The 17070-nt window shown below is 36.5% G+C and overlaps 1 protein-coding gene and 1 long non-coding RNA gene across 23 annotated transcripts in view; one reads left to right on the top strand and one right to left on the bottom strand.

Annotated features, from left to right (window-relative positions):
- Nucleotides 1-17070, bottom strand: part of CNTN6 (contactin 6) — a 311194-nt gene that overhangs the window by 205731 nt on the left and 88393 nt on the right. The window lies entirely within an intron of this gene.
- LOC105376923 (uncharacterized) lies at nt 4098-16243 on the top strand. The gene is made up of 3 exons (XR_940541.4): nt 4098-4182; nt 15386-15481; nt 16131-16243. It is a non-coding gene; the product is annotated as an uncharacterized LOC105376923 (long non-coding RNA).

Raw genomic sequence — 17070 nt, 5'->3', positions numbered from 1 at the left:
CCACCCAAAGCCCTGAGATTACAGGCATGAGCCACTGTGCCTGGCCAGCATTTTTTCAAAATGCAATTTGTGTGGTAACACATGTTGTGTGGGGTATTTTTGAAAAATTAGGTTAAAGGATTCAAAGCTATTCTTTTTATTCCTTTTATTAGAGCTTTTCCTGATTTCTCAGGCCTTTTAACACCAAAATAATGATTATGATTCTTCACAGGGAAATGTAATACTCAGTGGTTTCCAAACTTACTTGAATGAAGAATATTTTTTTTGGTAGCATACCAAGGAATAAGTTTTTTTTGTTTGTTTTTTATTAATAGGCAGTTCTTTGAGAGATGATGGGGAAATACTGGGAAAGACAAGTCTCAAGTGCTTCATAGAATGAAGTTCACTTCATTTTCTGCCCTCCAGCATCTCTTAGAATGCTCGCCTGAACTCTAGTACAACTAGACACATCTCACAAAGTCCAGTGGAAAGAGCTAAGCTTGTCTGTCTTTGCTTTTTACCTGATTTCCTGTGGATACTGTCAAAGTAATTTTTTTAATGTGAAGTATTGGAAACGTTCATTGTTTCTTTGCATGAGTTAGGGGGGATAGGATGCTTTTCTAGAATAATAGTAACTACCAGATAATTAGCACACGTAATAGAGCAGACTTTGAGATAGTTTATAAAATCTTATTTAATGAAATAACATAAAATATTAATGTAATTTAATCCTTTTGATGTCCCTGTAGGCTTTAATATTACTTCCATTTAACAGATAAGAAGGTTCAGAGAGCGGTTACTTGCCCAAGTTCACACAGCTGGTAAACTCAGGAGCCCTCACCCCTTATCACTACGTGGGCTTCCTCTCCACATAAGTGCACATTTTGCTATTTTATCACCCTGTATGTGGTGTGTATGTGTGTGACTTACATCACTAAGTGTTGTAGATGCTGCTTTCCTATTTACTTATTTACTTTTAATTTATGAGCTCCTTAGGTTTCACTAAATGTGTGTAATTGACTTGGAGATAAAAATGCCCACTTACTGCCTCTCACAACAATTTGGCTTTAACAATTTAAACAATGGCACCCCTGGCAAATCACAAAGGCCGATTAGCAAGTTTTCAGGGCTGTGCTTACAATTGCTGCCACCTCTATCCCTATTATTACATCCAGAGAATGGATGAGGTTAGAGACAAAATGGTCTAATTAACCAGGAGCTGCTTCAGTATCCTCAATGACCAGCCAAAGATTAATCAGAAACCAGGACCTTGCTTTGCAGATGGGTGAGAGATGATGCTGAGAGGTATGTCAATGAACAATGGCACTGCAATGACTAATAGCCAATTATGTCTATAACCTGAAACAACTGGTTGAGAAATTCTCTCAGGCAAACGTGGGCAATCAAGAGGAGAGCTTGGGAATTATCTCTTGTCTCAGAGATAATGCTTTTGTATCTCAAGAGTTTTAGAGAAGCTGACAGATCCACAAATGGCAAAAGATTAATAAAAAAGTTAATGATCTGAATGCTTTATTTTTTTCAGTGTTCTACAGGTTTCTTCTCCCACAGCTATTGATCACTGATAGACATATGGGAACTCTAACCTGCGCTAGGCTGGGCAGAAAGTTTTATAGGTGGACAGCTTTTACTTGTGGCTATTTTTGTTTACCTCTAAATCTCCAAGACCTGCAATAATGCATGGTATTTAGTGATTGCTTGATACATATTTGGCGAATAAATAATCAGATGATGTAAATGGTAGTTTTTAATATTAAAATTACTAAATTTCCTATAAACCCATCACCAGACACTTTATTGAGTATGAAGCATTTATTTTGTTTTTGCTGTCATTGTTTTTGGAAGGAATATCTTTCGAGGGCCTATGATAAGTCAGGTCTTGGTCCAAGAGCTTTGCATTATAATGTCAGTTAACCCTCATCATAACACTTCATTCATTCAACAACAAATATTTATTGTCTTCCCTCTGCCAGTCACTTTTAGAGACCAAGCATACAGCAGGAGATGAAACAAAAACAAAAACAAAAACAAAAAAATCTCTTCTTCTTATGGATCTGAAAAGAAGGAAGTGTTATCATTATCATCCACTTTTTATCAGAGCAGTTAAGCCATTTGCTGAGGTCAGAAGTATCTTGGCTCCAGAGAAAATGCAGGCCCCAACTGAAGAGCCTTACTCAAAGCACACTGCCTCTATCCCAGCCACTATGCTGAAGGTTTTCTGCACCATATTTCATGTGATATTTCTGCAGAGATTACTACACTAAAGAAGGAAAGAAGGCTCTTACTCTCACGATGAATGCTCAGCCTGAGCAAATGCCAAATGCTGTTAAGCAATGCCCATCTCCAAAACAAATTCTTTCTGATTCAGTCACCAAGGTTAAAGGAGGTATTTCCATAACCACAAGCAAATTAGTCTAGTTTTGCATTAACAATAATGAGATGGGGCAATAAGAACCTAACCTTTCATTGTCTCTTTTTGCTTTATGACAAAGACAGCACTTTTTCATACTGGACAAGAAAGGAATTACTTGCTGCTGAGTTTTGTGCAAGCCTTGTGTTAGCTCATGAAAAAATAAAAATAAAAAAAAAACTTCTCTTTGGCTGCAGAGATATCTGGTACAGGTCTCGTATGGAACACAGAAGGTTTCAGTGATGTGTCCCAAAAATGTAGAAATAAGATTATACTAAAGGTGAGAATAGTAAGATTCAATACATAATGAATGAGGTCAACCACCTGTCAAAATAGCCACAAGAGTTGACTATAAATATATGCCTGAAAATGTTTGGAGACACTCAGTTTCATTCAAAAGGTAAACTAAGAAGGCAGAATCAGGTGGAGCCTAAACAAAGGCTATGAGTTTAATCAGTTACTCTTTACTAAAAAGTCAATTAACTATAAAGATGTCTGTATAGACCCAGAAAAGAAAAGTAAAAGTAAAAAGAACAAGAGTTTGGTAGTGTTTTCACAGCACTCTTTCTAAGGAACAGGGGGAATTTACAAGTCTTCATCAAAACTCTAACAAATATCTCTCAAGATTATTCATATTCCATACTGGCCAACCAACTCCCTGATACATAGGTATTTTTAAATTTAGGTTTTATTACTATTCAGGTATCATGAACCCAAGAAATCAGGAGAAGATTACCATTGAAAAGATGGTTTATTATTCACAGGTCCCAAGAGGAGGGGGCAGGACCCACCATGCAGGGTTTCAGAGGAATCACCAGGCTCAGTTTAGAGGCAGAGAAAGTGGAGAAAAACATAGGCAAGAGCCTGTATAGAGGTTTCCATGGAAAAGAATACAATGTAAGAAGGCTTAGAAATGGCTAGTTGGATCATCTCTTCAGATTCTGGGGTGCAGAGGCTGTCTTTAGTTGTCTGGAACCTGGCCCCGGAATAATTAGGACAAGCTGAACCTGGCGTGGAGTGTAAAGGATCAGTAAAGGAGATGGTTGGGATGTGGGTAGTAGATTGTTTGATTTGCCTATTAAAGGCATATGAAAAGGATGCTGGAAGGGGAGTCTTTTTTTTTAATCTCTAAGAATTGCCTAACTTTGGAAAGGGCAGTCTTTCCAGAGTCAGCAAGTCCCTAGATGTCAAAGCATCAAAAGTACAGAAAATAAAAAGACAGGATTAATATAACATCTCATGCTGCCAGGTAGCAGGAAAAAAGGAATAAGATACATGTTCTCAATGGAGTTGACATCACCCCCAAGGAGGTGAAAATTGGCTCTGGGGTATTGGGAGAAATGAAAGAAAATGTTACTTTCCATGTATAAGGCACAGAAATACATAAACAGATATATACAGATAAACAATACAAATGCAGTATCAAAATTTCATTGGCAGTGGTCTCAAAAGTCTCCTTTGTGAGGAGAGGAGGGTGATAATGAACTAAAGGTTGAGAACAGGGAATCCTAGATAAGAGATGTAAGTATATGGTAAATGAAAAAAGAAAACAGCAGATTACAATAATACATTATTAGCATATTAATATATTAATGTAAGTAAATATATCATTTTTCTGATTTATATGTAAATGTTTTCTAAATTTTCTTTGCAAGTTTTTCTCCATAAAGATCTGATCCACTCTGAGAATGCTAAGAAAACCCAGTCTCCCAAGTCCACAGAGCTAAGAATCAGATTCTGAAGTGAGGAGTCTGAGAACATGATGCCCTGTACAGGTACTTCCATTTCTCTAAGAGATATCCTGTTGTCTCCCTTTAAAAATATCAATAATGTTATAGTTGCATTTTATTTTAAAAGATTTCTCCCTTTAAACATTCTTGGGGCAGCGCTCACCTAGAATGTGTTGATCTTCAATTGACTAAATAGCATTTCTGGATTAATTGTTGCTTTTTCTTCTTTATAATTTCTACTGGATTTGTGAGAAAAAGAGAGGTGATCAGAATTGCAATGTGTCATGTCTACTTTGGTTGCGTGAACTAAAATGGACATGATGCAGAGATTAGCATAGGGCCTGCATAAGGATAACACATGCTTTGGGGAAAAAAAACATAGATAAAAGCCATGAGGCATTTCCTACATACAAGAAAACGTTTCATATCTTGTTTTGGATGGCAGTTTCATGGTATATACAATTCTTAAAACGTATTGATCTGAACACTTAAGATCACTGTATTTTATTTACTATAAATTATGCTTTGACTTTATAAAAGTGAGTGCAGTGGGAAGGCAATGATGATTGAAATCTGATGTTCACAGAGTGGACTGCATCATATACAAATAAGGTTGAACAAATGGAGCACTACCTGTAGTGGACTGTATTTTATAAAACAAATGAAACTACATTGGAACATATTTATAAATTAAACCATAGAGTTCATGAGAAAATGGAGGCCCAGAGAAACAGTTGAATTTACATATTTGGCAATCAGAAGAAAGGTGTAATAACGCTAGAGAAATAATATGCAGGAACATCCATTGATTGTGACCATATGGTAGTTATCACGTAAGCATTTCAAATTTCTTATTTCATTAATGGTTATATCAACCCTATGAAGAAGGCACTACTATTATTCTATTTTTACCTTTTTAAATAATGTGAGTCTAGACAGGTTAAGTGACTTATCAAAGATCATATAACTAACAAATGGTGGAACTGAGCCTTGAAACTCTTATTTTTGATGTCAGTCTATATTCTTCAGTGCCAAGACATAATACTTCCACTTAATGCTGGTTAGCTGAGGTTACTGTATGCATGCTGAGTCATTAAATGGCAAGCTGTGTCACACTGTGCACTCTAAATTTAAATACGTAAAAGTTATTTAAAACAATAGCACAGCAAAACCTGATTGTGTTAACCTGCGCTTAATTTGGTTAATTGCAGGACTTTAATAGCTCAATATGGCTAGCAGGTGGCAATGGTGTTCCATTAAGCCAACACAGCAACTTCAGGCAAATTAATGTACATGTAACATACTAATGTACATATAACATACAAAACTGCAAAAGAGTGAGAAGGAGTGGGCTACGTTTCTTTAGTAATTCTTGTCATCTAGGCCCTAGGATTCTTATGCACTTAGCCTCTTGCACACATGGAATTTTTGAGTTGTTCAAATACGTGGAGTTTAATTGCTGTGTGGGTGAGCTAAGTTGAGGAAGCAATAATGGATGCATTGAAGGTAGACTAATTCTAAGCTGGATAAGGGAGGACAAAAATAAAAGAGAAATATCTTATTTTCATATTCAAGGGCAGTTTTAAGGCTTTCTGTACAATGAGTGTATTTATACATATATGAGCACAACAGGGGTGTGTGTGTGTGTGTGGTTGTCATTGCTATCTTTGTTGTTGGGGTGCACATGTGAGGCCTAGCAGCAGGTGTGCATCTGTGACAATGTATAAATAATTTTGGACTTAGGTTCCATTTATTTACCTCCAGAAGAACAGAACTTCTGAAAGCAGTTCTGGACTCTGTAGACTGAAGATGGAGCTCAATGAGCACAGGGTCCATTATACATTTGCAGCAAATGAGGCACCTTTGCCTACAAATGCTGCAAATAATGTATAGTATGGTCCATGTGGGCTCCAGTTTCCTGCAACCAGAATGCTAGACAGGAAATAGCTTCCTGGCCAGAAGATATTAATTTTAAGTTTTGAAAGATTAGTAGTAGCTTGCTAGAAATACACGGTAAGGGAAGAAATTCTAGGAAGAGGCACTAGCAAGTAAAAAAGATGTAGAGAAATTAAAATCCTAGTGCCTTGGGAAAGATAAGCACTTCAGAAAAGTGAGAATTGGTGGTACCCTACAGAAAAGAATCAATGAAGGCTTTCTGGCCATGTAAGAATTTTGAATATTATCCCATTGTTATCCACTAGATGAGCTTATCCATTAGAAAATTAGGAGACTTCTAACAGGAGATAATGAAGGACTGACCTAAAAGGATCAAAAGGACGAGGCAGATTGAAGAGTTATTTGAGATACAGACTAAATACTAGAGCACGGCACCGCAATAAAGTAGGTAGGTGTCAAAATGAGGCTCTGCTTACCTATTATTGTGATCAGAATGTGAACTGTAACAGTGATTTTTCAAAAAATTATAATTTAGAGTAAAAGAAAGCTGTTATTCTACTCACAACACTTTTGACATTACATGTATGGGGTTTTCTTTTACAGCAAGTAATTCTCCAGTTCTCTGCAAATGCCAATTGGATGTGTCCTACAATTTAATTCAATTCTGACACTAAACTACCTAGAGTAAGTGTAGCCCCCACAGGTTAGGAGTTCAATCCCACAAGAACACCCTCCATTTCAGGTGCCAGTTGCAAGTATTGGGTACCCAGGGTGTCCACACTTCTGCTCAACTTGGCTACAAATTAGGAGTTTCAACAGTTCCCTCTAGGATGAGATAATTTGCTGTAACCTTAGTCACATTTACAGGTTTTTACAAAGATACGAATAAACAGCTGGCTGAAAAGGTACCTAGGGAGAGATCCAGAAGGGTCCTATGTGCAGGAGATTCTGTCCCTGTGGAGTTGGGGTGCACCACCCACCTGGCACATGGATGCATTTGTAACCCAGAAACTTTCCAAACCTCATAGGCTAGGGACTGGTGTTGAGGCTTCATCACATAGACATTATTAATTATTAACCTAATCTCCCCTTCCTGGAGGATGGGAGACGGGACTGAAAGTTCCAAGCTTCTACTAACAGCTTGGGCTTTCCAGTGGCCAGCTCCCATTCTGAAGCTATCCAGGAGCCCACCATGAGTCACATCATTAGAACAAATGACACTCCTATGATCCAGGAAATTCCAAGCTCTGGAATCAGGAGCTCCAGAGTTCTGTGTCAGGAACCAGGGACAAAAAACAAATACTAGGACAAAAGATGCTCATAGCACTCATCACTAAGGAAATTGTAAGAGTTTTAGGAGCTCAGTATTAGAACCAGGGACAGAGACTAAACACATATTTCTTCTTATGTTATCTGCAGTAACTTCCTTTCCTCATGCTGAAAGTACATGTCAATACTTTCAACATGCTCTGAGATGGTTGAAAATAATGAAGTAGAAGTAGCATATATTTTAAAAGAATAATAAAAGGAAGACAAGAAAAGTGGTGAGAAATGACTTTTGGACTTATGTAACATGTACCCACCACCTGGGTAATAAATTGCTTTGGGAAAACTAATCTCAGAGGCTGCCAAGTGAGCCAACAGAAGGGGATCCCTAGATAGTGAGTCACGCGTCAAAAAGAACAGGCTGAAGGTGATATATGGTTGGTCAAGAGCATATTTTATAGGTAGTTCATATTATCCCTCCCTCACCGCTGTTCTCTGAGGAGTATTTCCTGTACCATTCTGCTTTCTCTTACAGCTTTTTTTCTTTCTGTAGAGATGTGATTAAGGATTTTCCCAATTCTTAAACTTTGCTTAAACTCTCCTCTGCAAGGCACCCATTTTATAAACAGTCACTGCATTTGATCACAATGTGTTCATAACCTGTCAAACAACTCAACCATGTATATTTCCTAGAGGCTGTTTAGAATTCTCCAAGCCTAAAACGATGATACAAAAAGCAAGGCGGTTTCAGTAAAAAGAGAACTAGAGTCAGCCTAATAGGAGAAGAGACATTGTGACATATAAAGTGCATGTGACTAACGTTATAGACCGAATGGTTATGTGCTCTTAAAATGTATTTGTTGAATTCCTAACCCCCGATGTGACGGTATTTGGAGGTGGGGACTTTAGGAGTAACTAGGTTTAGATGAGGTCATGAGGGTGAATTCCTCATGAATGGGATAGTGCGCTTATAAAAAGAGACATCAGAGACCTTTCTCCCACTCCCCTCTCTTTCTCTCTCCCTTTCTCCTGTGCAAACACACAGGAAAGGCCATGTGAGGATGCAGTGAGAAGGCTGCCGTCTGCAAATCAATGAGAGCCCTTACCAGATTCACTGCGTTGGCACCCTGGTCTCAAACTTCCAGCTGCCAGGACTGTGAGAAGTAAATGTCTGTTCTTTAAGACAGCCAGTCTGTGGTATTTTGTTATGGCAGACTGAGCTGACTAATACAACCAGAGTCTGAGAACCTAAATTCATATCATCATTTTGCTACTAATTTTGTGATATGCAATAGAATGCTTTGCCACTCTGATCCCCAATTTGTTTGCCTGTAAAAAGAGGGGATGGAACACATTCTGGTGGAGGAGAGTCACTTTATAGTAGAGATGGTGGCATTTTTTTCTCTTCCTTGGGTTTGGCAGACATTACTATTCAATCACAGGATTCTTTCCCATTGGGTTCAGATGTGGCCTCAAAGGCTTCTCATTGCAGTTAGTACTAAATGCAAGCATCCACAGATAATGAAATGGAGTCGACATGAAGGAGGCAATGTAATACCAGTCAAGGTATATATAATCTAAAGTTCTGGCTCTAACAGTCCAAAATTATTTCATATATCCCTTTATTAAACAAATACTAAGTCTATTCAGGATGTACAAGTGAATGTGGTAAGCACTTTAAAGGATTCAGGAAGGAATTGGACAAACTTTTAAAAAATATAATTGCGTTATCAACTTCTGCAAATTCCAAAGAGTTAAAGTCCTTGCTAATTCTAAAAGCCTTAATACATGAATGTACAATGTATAATGTTTTGTATAAATGCATTTCTTCATTTAAGACTTCTCCCCTCCTCCTTTCCAGAATGAACTGAAAGACTTCTTACAAGGCACCACCTCTTATAACCCTTTCCCCCAAAAGGAGATTTTTATATTCAAAAACATTGTAGGAGTGGTTTACTCAGCTATTTTGTCTCTTATGGCACCAACAATTATAAACTTGGGTCACATGGCTGTTCTGAAATTGTAAGGCGGATATAATTATAATTTCTGGCCTACTGTATCAATTCTAGCTACACTTTGTAGCTAGATGGCAATCAAATCATGCTGAGCTTGTTTTTTTTGTTTTGTTTTGTTTTGTTTTGTTTTTATCAGCAAATGCCTTTTTCAATCTCTTTTCACATCACCTGTGGACATCTGCATGCCAAAGGTGAAGCTTCTGCCAGGTCTGTGTTACCAATCAAATAAAATAACTCAAGCCTAGGCTAGACGGATAAGCAATCACACATGTGTACAGAAAAAAGCAGCCTAGCCCTAAACACCAGGGAATTGGGTCAATAAAGAAAACTGAATTGGAAGATTTCTAATAGAAAAGCAGTGGTAACAATTTCATATCATATTACTCAGCATAGGCTTGGGAGGAAACCTGCTGTTCTCTAGAAGCCAAGTTCTCTTTTCCTATATTTAAATTGAGATTTTTCACTGTATTTTTGGCTATCATTTATCTTTGTCCTTGGCAATATTCACTTTTGATATTACAGTGTTAATTATTTTTCATTATTTATTGTTGGGTTTGTTGAAAGAGCAGGCATTTTTAAAAACCTCAATTGATAAACTTGCCTTTTTAACCAAATTCCAGTCCATGGAGACCACAGAAACAGCAAGTGTACACAGGCTTGGCTAATTCCGTATATGCAGTATCACTAATTTTTTTTCTAAAGCAATTACAATGTAAACTTTTAAAAAATATAATTGCATTATCAACTTCTGCAAATTCCAAAGAGTTAAAGTCCTTGCTAATTCTAAAAGCCTTAATACATGAATGTACAATGTTTTTGAATATAAAAATCTCCTTTTGGGGGACAGGGTTATAAGAGGTGGTGCCTTGTAAGAATTCTTTCAGTTCATTCTGGAAAGGAGGAGGGGAGAAGTCTTAAATGAAGAAATGCAAGCATTCCCCTCCAGTTCTGGGGATGCAGACTAGCCATTGAGTTCATAAAGACTTCAGTCCTCTCTACCCTTGAGGTGGGGATATGGTTTTTCAATTGCTATTAAGCATTGCTTGACTATTTGCTTGCATCATTGGGTCATTATGAAGGATTTTGCATGTATGTATTTGCAGGGGGTGTGAATAAATGGCATTTAAATAGAAAAAAAAGAGTAAGATTTGGCAGGGGTAGCGGGTGTGCAGAATTTAATAGAGTTGTCCTCCAAGGAAGGTGGTGCAGTGTGGGGCTTTCGAGGTGTGGACCACCATAGGAGGTACAGGAAGTGCACAGGAAAGAACAGACTGCCCAACCAACCATACGGTGCCCAACCAACCATACAGACTTCTTGTTTCACAGAAGGGCAACACACAGGGTCCCTGCCATCCATGTGCCCAGGAGGCACTGGCACAGTAGGGGCAGAGCCAGCTTCTTGGGCATCTGACCTGTGTGGCTTCACAGCACACTGTGTTTAAAAACACCCACTTAATGATTTATGAACAAGAGGTCCTGCGTTTGCATTTTTCCCTTGGCCTCACAAATTATGTAGCAAATTTTGGGTAGGGGCAATGCTGGATCCCTGCTGTGACACTTCAGACCACCCCAGCCTCCCTATGAAAACTGTAACAACCAAAAATGAAACCCAGACACCTGCTGGGCTAGAGGAGGGAAACTACAGAATTTATGCTTGGAGAATAACACCAGGACTCTGGATAGCAGGAAATGAAGCCTTTGTAGCCTGACACCATGGGCCTATAACTGTGTACATAAAGACGCTATGTTTTCTACAAAAGATCAAATAAAAACAGAGCCTATGGAGAATGATTTTTGTACAGCAGGCACAAACTTTAATTATTTCATCCTCATTGGCTTCCATAGCTCAAAGGAACGTAAGGCAGGAGGTGAAGGTGTCAGAAAGAAAAAAAAAAAGTATGTATGGATAGAACTGGTGTGGGTTACAAAAAACATACTTCATTACGCATCAGGCAGTTTTTTTTGAGTTGCTTGCCTCCCAAAGGAAGGTTTTCACTTTAAGGGGAAAATCGACCATTGGAATTTATCAGTGGGAAGTCTATGAATTGTAAAAACAACAACAACAAAGGCTTTTCGCAAGCCATTCTATGTGGATAAAATAGGTAAAAATCCTCGTGTTGGGCCATTTGCTAGGACACACGGAGGTACTACCTGTTTTGCTCTCATTTCTCCTAATTGGCTGCATTTCTCAACTTCTCTTTTCCTCTTTGGTAACATGAAATAGGCCTTTATATAGATGGAAAGACTTCCTTTCTATCTGTATTTGGGCAGAGGGAAGGGAAAGGAATCATACTGTCAAGGGCAGTTTATCTTACCTCTTTTTTTTTTTCTTTTAACCCCTTTATTAAAAAAAGAAAAAAATAAAAAGAATGGGACCAAGCGACTTCAGAAAGGCTACTGAGTGTGGCAGCCACTTAACCATTGAGAAAGGGGCTCCATCCACACTGTAAAAGGTCTCCAGCCAGCTAGACCAAGCAGCGCTCCTCCCCACAGCCACTTTCAGGTTGTCTTTCCGATTCAGAAAGCTAAATTAGAAGTTAAGATGAGTCAATTTTGCTTTTCACTTTGCAAATAAAAGATGAAAGAGCCCTAACTCCCAGGAAATAATTCACGAAAGAAAAACACCTAAGTGGGATGCAGAGTAGTGAAATAACTTGCATTTGGATTTGACTTTGCCAGTCAATCTGTAAGGCCCAATATTTAAGTTATTCTAAATTAAAGATTTTTTTTTTTCCTGAAAGTTTCTCAAAATGGCCAAAGGGAAACAGGTCATTTTCTCTCATAAGTAATTATGAGAGAGTAGTTGCAGTGTGTGAAGCCATCTGTGAAAATCGGGTTTGAGCTGACGATAACGTCTGAAGATATGAAAGATTTCCATATTTAAACATGTACCTATGAATCTCTTTTCCAATGATAAGTAACCCTTGGTAACATCAGCCATCTCTGTGACTCAATTCTAACAACCTTCTGAATACTTCTTAAAATGACTTTCATAAATACATAGAAGTTACTTTTTTTCTCTTCTCTGAGAATTTAATTTCTTGTGCTGTCTTTCGTTTTCTTCCATATGCTACTTATATGTGAATATATTATATTCTATATTAAACAATAAACACTTCCATCACAAAAATCACATTTATATTCCCTTTTGTATTCTTCATACTGTTTGGTGAATTGTTTTGGATGTAGTAGGTGAATTAATTGATATTTGTTAAATGACTGAAAGTAACAAAGGCCTAAAATGTATTAAGAATACATCTGTCTCTAGGAACTAAATAATTTACAATGATCTTTTAAATTACATAGTGTTTAATGTGATCAACGCACTGTGTTTTTCATTTATATAATACTCACAAGTTGTTATTACTAATAACTCAATGTTACAAAGGGGAAAAGTGAGGTACAGGGATTAAATAATTTATTCAAGCTTACAGAGGGGCACAGCAAGGATTTGAACCAATGCAGTCTTCAGTCCGTACTCTCAATTACTATGCTACATGTAGCTTTTCTAACACATAATATTTATTGTGTCATTAATTGTTGTAAGTACATTACATGCACTATCTCATTTATATCCTGAAATCTATTAACAGATGCTGACTACATGCCAAGGTCACATAGATTAGCACATTCAGTGGCCTTTATACCAAACACAGACAAAGTGTTTCATACTTCCAAGGATTTGTGCTAATGCAGTGGTTATCAAACTGTGGAAATGGAACCCCTGGAGGTTCTTAATACCTTTTTAGAGTATCTGTATAATCAAAGCTCTTCTTGGTATCAAAGTGAATATTTTGCACTATTTTTTCTCTTCACATATTTTAGAAACATCTTTTTTAAATAAACAATTTCACTGTGGAAGAAATAAGAATCTCTAAGTGTAAAAACCACTGCCAATAAATACAAAATTTTTCAAAAATTATGAAACGCCTTAATCCAACACTTTTAAGGAGAAGGAATTTTAAGTTTCCTGAACCAAATAGGACATATTCTATTACCTTCTGAACCATCTGAAGTTTCTTATTAGCTAAAAATTTTATGAGCAATAATTATTTCACAAATTTTAGAAATAATTCTTTACTAACTGCTCTTAACAGAATGAGAAGACTTATGAGTATATATATCTTATTTTTTACTGTTTCTTGTAGTTAGAACTGTTTATTCCTCTAATGCCTACCAAGTGTACATTAACGTAATGCTAGAATGAGTACAGCTTGTTCCTAATGCTGTAAACACAGCCAAAATATTTTTATATATTTGAATTAATTTTATATCCTCATATGATTCCCTAATTTGGACTTCTAGTAGAAAATACCAGTAGGGAAAATGTTCTAGTAAATAATGCATTATTTCATAAGATTTGCCCATTCAAATATGTACTTAATGCCTGGGCTACGTAAGTTTCAGTCAGACTATATTTAGCTATCCAGATCATTTCCTAGGACAATCAAATAGTTATTATTAATTTTCAGATGTCCATATTGAGAGTCATTATTGTATTTCAGTGTAATCAATATGTCATGGTGGTGCACTAGAACTAGTAACAAATTTGGGCTTCAGTTTGTTTAGTATTTTTATATAAATTTTTGTGTCCTTCAAATACAGCCTATTATGAAAACAAATACCTGAACTTCATAGACAAATATCCACAATTTAGTTAAAGAGAGGCATTTTTATGATACATACTAATCTCAAAGAACAGTCTTCTCAATGAAACATCATTAGAATGCTTGGTAACAGGCAAGACAAATAATAATGAAACTGCCCATCCTATCATATGAGCGTTACCTTCACTGTAATTTCTGGGTTAGAACTACATTCAATGACATATACTACTTCTTCTATTACACTTTTATAGTATTCATTTGGAAAAATTACCAAACTACCAAATGTAAAACAAAAAAAGTGTGCTGGGAAGATCCTAGGATGACCCCCAGTGATCCAGCCTCGTGGCATTCATATCCCTGTTACATCCCTTGTTTTTGAGTGTAGGTGGAACCTGTGCCTTATTTCTAACCAATAAAACACAGAAAATGGGACAGATATCACTTCCATGACCAGGTACATAAGATTATACCTTCCATCTTGTGAGAGAGTATCTCTACTACCTACTCAAATTGCACACTGTAATGAAGCAAGCATCTGTGTAGGAAAGGCCCTAATTGCAAGGAACTGAAAATGGCCTTCAGCCGCTAGCCAGCTAGGAATGGAGGCCCTCAATCCAACAATCAGTAACTGAGTTCTACCAACAACCAAATGAGTTTGAAAGCAGGCCCTTCCCTAGTCGAGTCATCGCATGACAACCCAGTCATGAGTGACCCCTTGGTTGTAGCTTTCGGATGAGAACTTGAAGCAAAAACTCAGATGAGCTGTGCCCAGACTACTGACTCACAGAAAAGGTGACATAATAAATGTGTTTTTTTTTGAAGCCACTATGATTGTGGTAATATTATTATACAGCAACAGAAAATCAATGCAATGATTCAGACTAGAGTTCTCTTGGAAGGTTGCCAGAAATGGAATAAGGGATTTGAATCCAAAAAGTACTCTTTTTATAAGATGTAAAAGCCATTTAAATAAAAATGTAGGAATGTGTCCAGAATGTGCAGAAAATAAGTAATGCCAAGGATTACAAAAATATGAAATCTAGTTGTGTATTGTGCAATCAATTGAATACTGGACTTTGTGAAATACTTTGGTACTTAACTAATACTGAAAAAAAAAAATATGGTCATGGCCAAGAGCCTGATTACCTGGCCTCTAATCAATCCATTTCTTTTTAAATTTAAAATTTTAGTTATAAATTTTTCATACAATGAAAAATACTAATTGATTAATAATAGATATTAAGCCATAGTAAGTCTTTGAGTGCCATTGTGTTTTCATAGAAGAGTTTGAACCATGATAGCTTCGGATTCACAGGTGCCTTTTATTTTACTATGTTTATATTTTTCTGACAATAATTTTGATGTTAGAATGAATACTATTTCTTTGAAAACTGTAAATTTCAATAGGAATTCAGTGGCATTATGCGTTGCCTTTAAAATCTTTTATCTTCGTATACCGGACAGTTCATCTTGGCATTTTAAAAAGATCACAACATTAGCACACACATGAAGATAAGAAGAAAAGAGGCCATGCCTGCGGAATTATGCCAGTGCTTTTCAGTAAGTTAACAATACAGTTAAATTTTTTTAAACAATAATCACTTGAGACAATACATTTTATGCATTCAATCTGGACATTTATAGAGCTGGTCTTTAGATGAATCTGTCGAAAAGGTATAGAATAGACCTCTCTAGGATGACTTTTTTCAAAAAAGAAATTAAATTGTTCATGCAACACCATTATGCATGCAAGAAAAAATATTCATAGATGCATGATAAACATTTCAATTGTATTACACTTTTATAGCTGGAACTGAAATATAATTTTATATCACAAGCATTCAGGCATGTTTCATCAATTTTCTGTTCTTTTACTCATATGAAATGTGTGATACATGGTATAACTATAGGCGTACTTTGTATATGAGTTACATTTCTGAAGCTAAAAATTAAAAAAAAAAAACTAAGGAAAAGGAGAATGTGGGCAAATGATTGCCTTTTTCTTAATACAGAATGCCGATTAATGCTGTGATTTAAACCAAGAGAATACTCACTATAACTACATGTTTGTCATCCTTTCCTAGGATGATACTACCATTTTGAATTACAGTAGAATTAACAAGACTTGCTCAAGATAAACTACCAAGTAACTATAGTTCTATATTAATTTCAGAGAACAGTATCCTCACCTCCATGATTTACTTTCTAGGGCTCTGTGGAAAGTCAGCTACCTGGAGTACCTCCTTGAAATCTGGAGAACAAAGATGCTCATCATCAGATTCCAGTTCTAGTGGGGAAATAAAGTTACTAAAAGTTCATGCACAGGGATGTTGAGCTAGTTTTATTTTTCTCCCTTGGATATTGGGACAAAACAGTGAGTAGATTCTTCCACAATTCCTGAACAAGATGTTTAGAAGAGTAGCTGAAAATAGTTAAGAAAATATTAGTAGAATGAATGAATATAAAAATACCTTGAAATTATTCAATATATATTGAATGCCTAGAAAGAATAAAGCTTTGAAAAGCAGAACGATTAAGAAAAAAAAGCACAGTTTCTGAACAAAATGAAGAGATGTTCTGTGATGAGTGTATGAGGATAGGGGTTTGGCAGTGACGTTGTCAGAGCGATGATAGGCAGAGGAGGTATTTTATGATGGAGTGTATGGAAAGAAACAATGTGTGGCATAGATACACATTGAATATTCTATTCAGTAGTTTTTGGTAAATGTTATCACTGTTTTGATTCCTTATAAAGAATCAGCCTGACTGAGCAGAATAAAATGCTCTCAAATATCAATTTTCCACACCCATGAATAACCTAGCTGTTTAAGCCATGAATCCTTAACACACAAACCAGTCACAAGGGATAAACCCTATGTGCAGGGCACATACTCCGTAGAAAGAGGTCACCTTTCCAACTGAAAACTGCATAAATGTAATACCTGGAGACACACATACACACAAGTACAAACAGGTATCTATAATATTGTGTCTCAACAAGATGCACCCTCAAAATTAAGGTGTTTGTGTTATTCGGCTCATTAAAAATACACAAACAAAGACAAATGCTATATTTGTTTTGCCACTTTTGCTACTCAGTTTTATGTAAAACAGGATGAAATAACAAAAAAACCCCTAAGATTTGGAAT

The sequence above is a fragment of the Homo sapiens genome, chromosome 3 (assembly GCF_000001405.40).
Source record: "Homo sapiens chromosome 3, GRCh38.p14 Primary Assembly".
NCBI classification, from domain to species: Eukaryota; Metazoa; Chordata; class Mammalia; order Primates; family Hominidae; genus Homo; species Homo sapiens.
The sequence above is the reverse complement of the archived record's forward strand: the minus strand, read 5'-3'. Positions and strand labels throughout refer to the sequence as shown.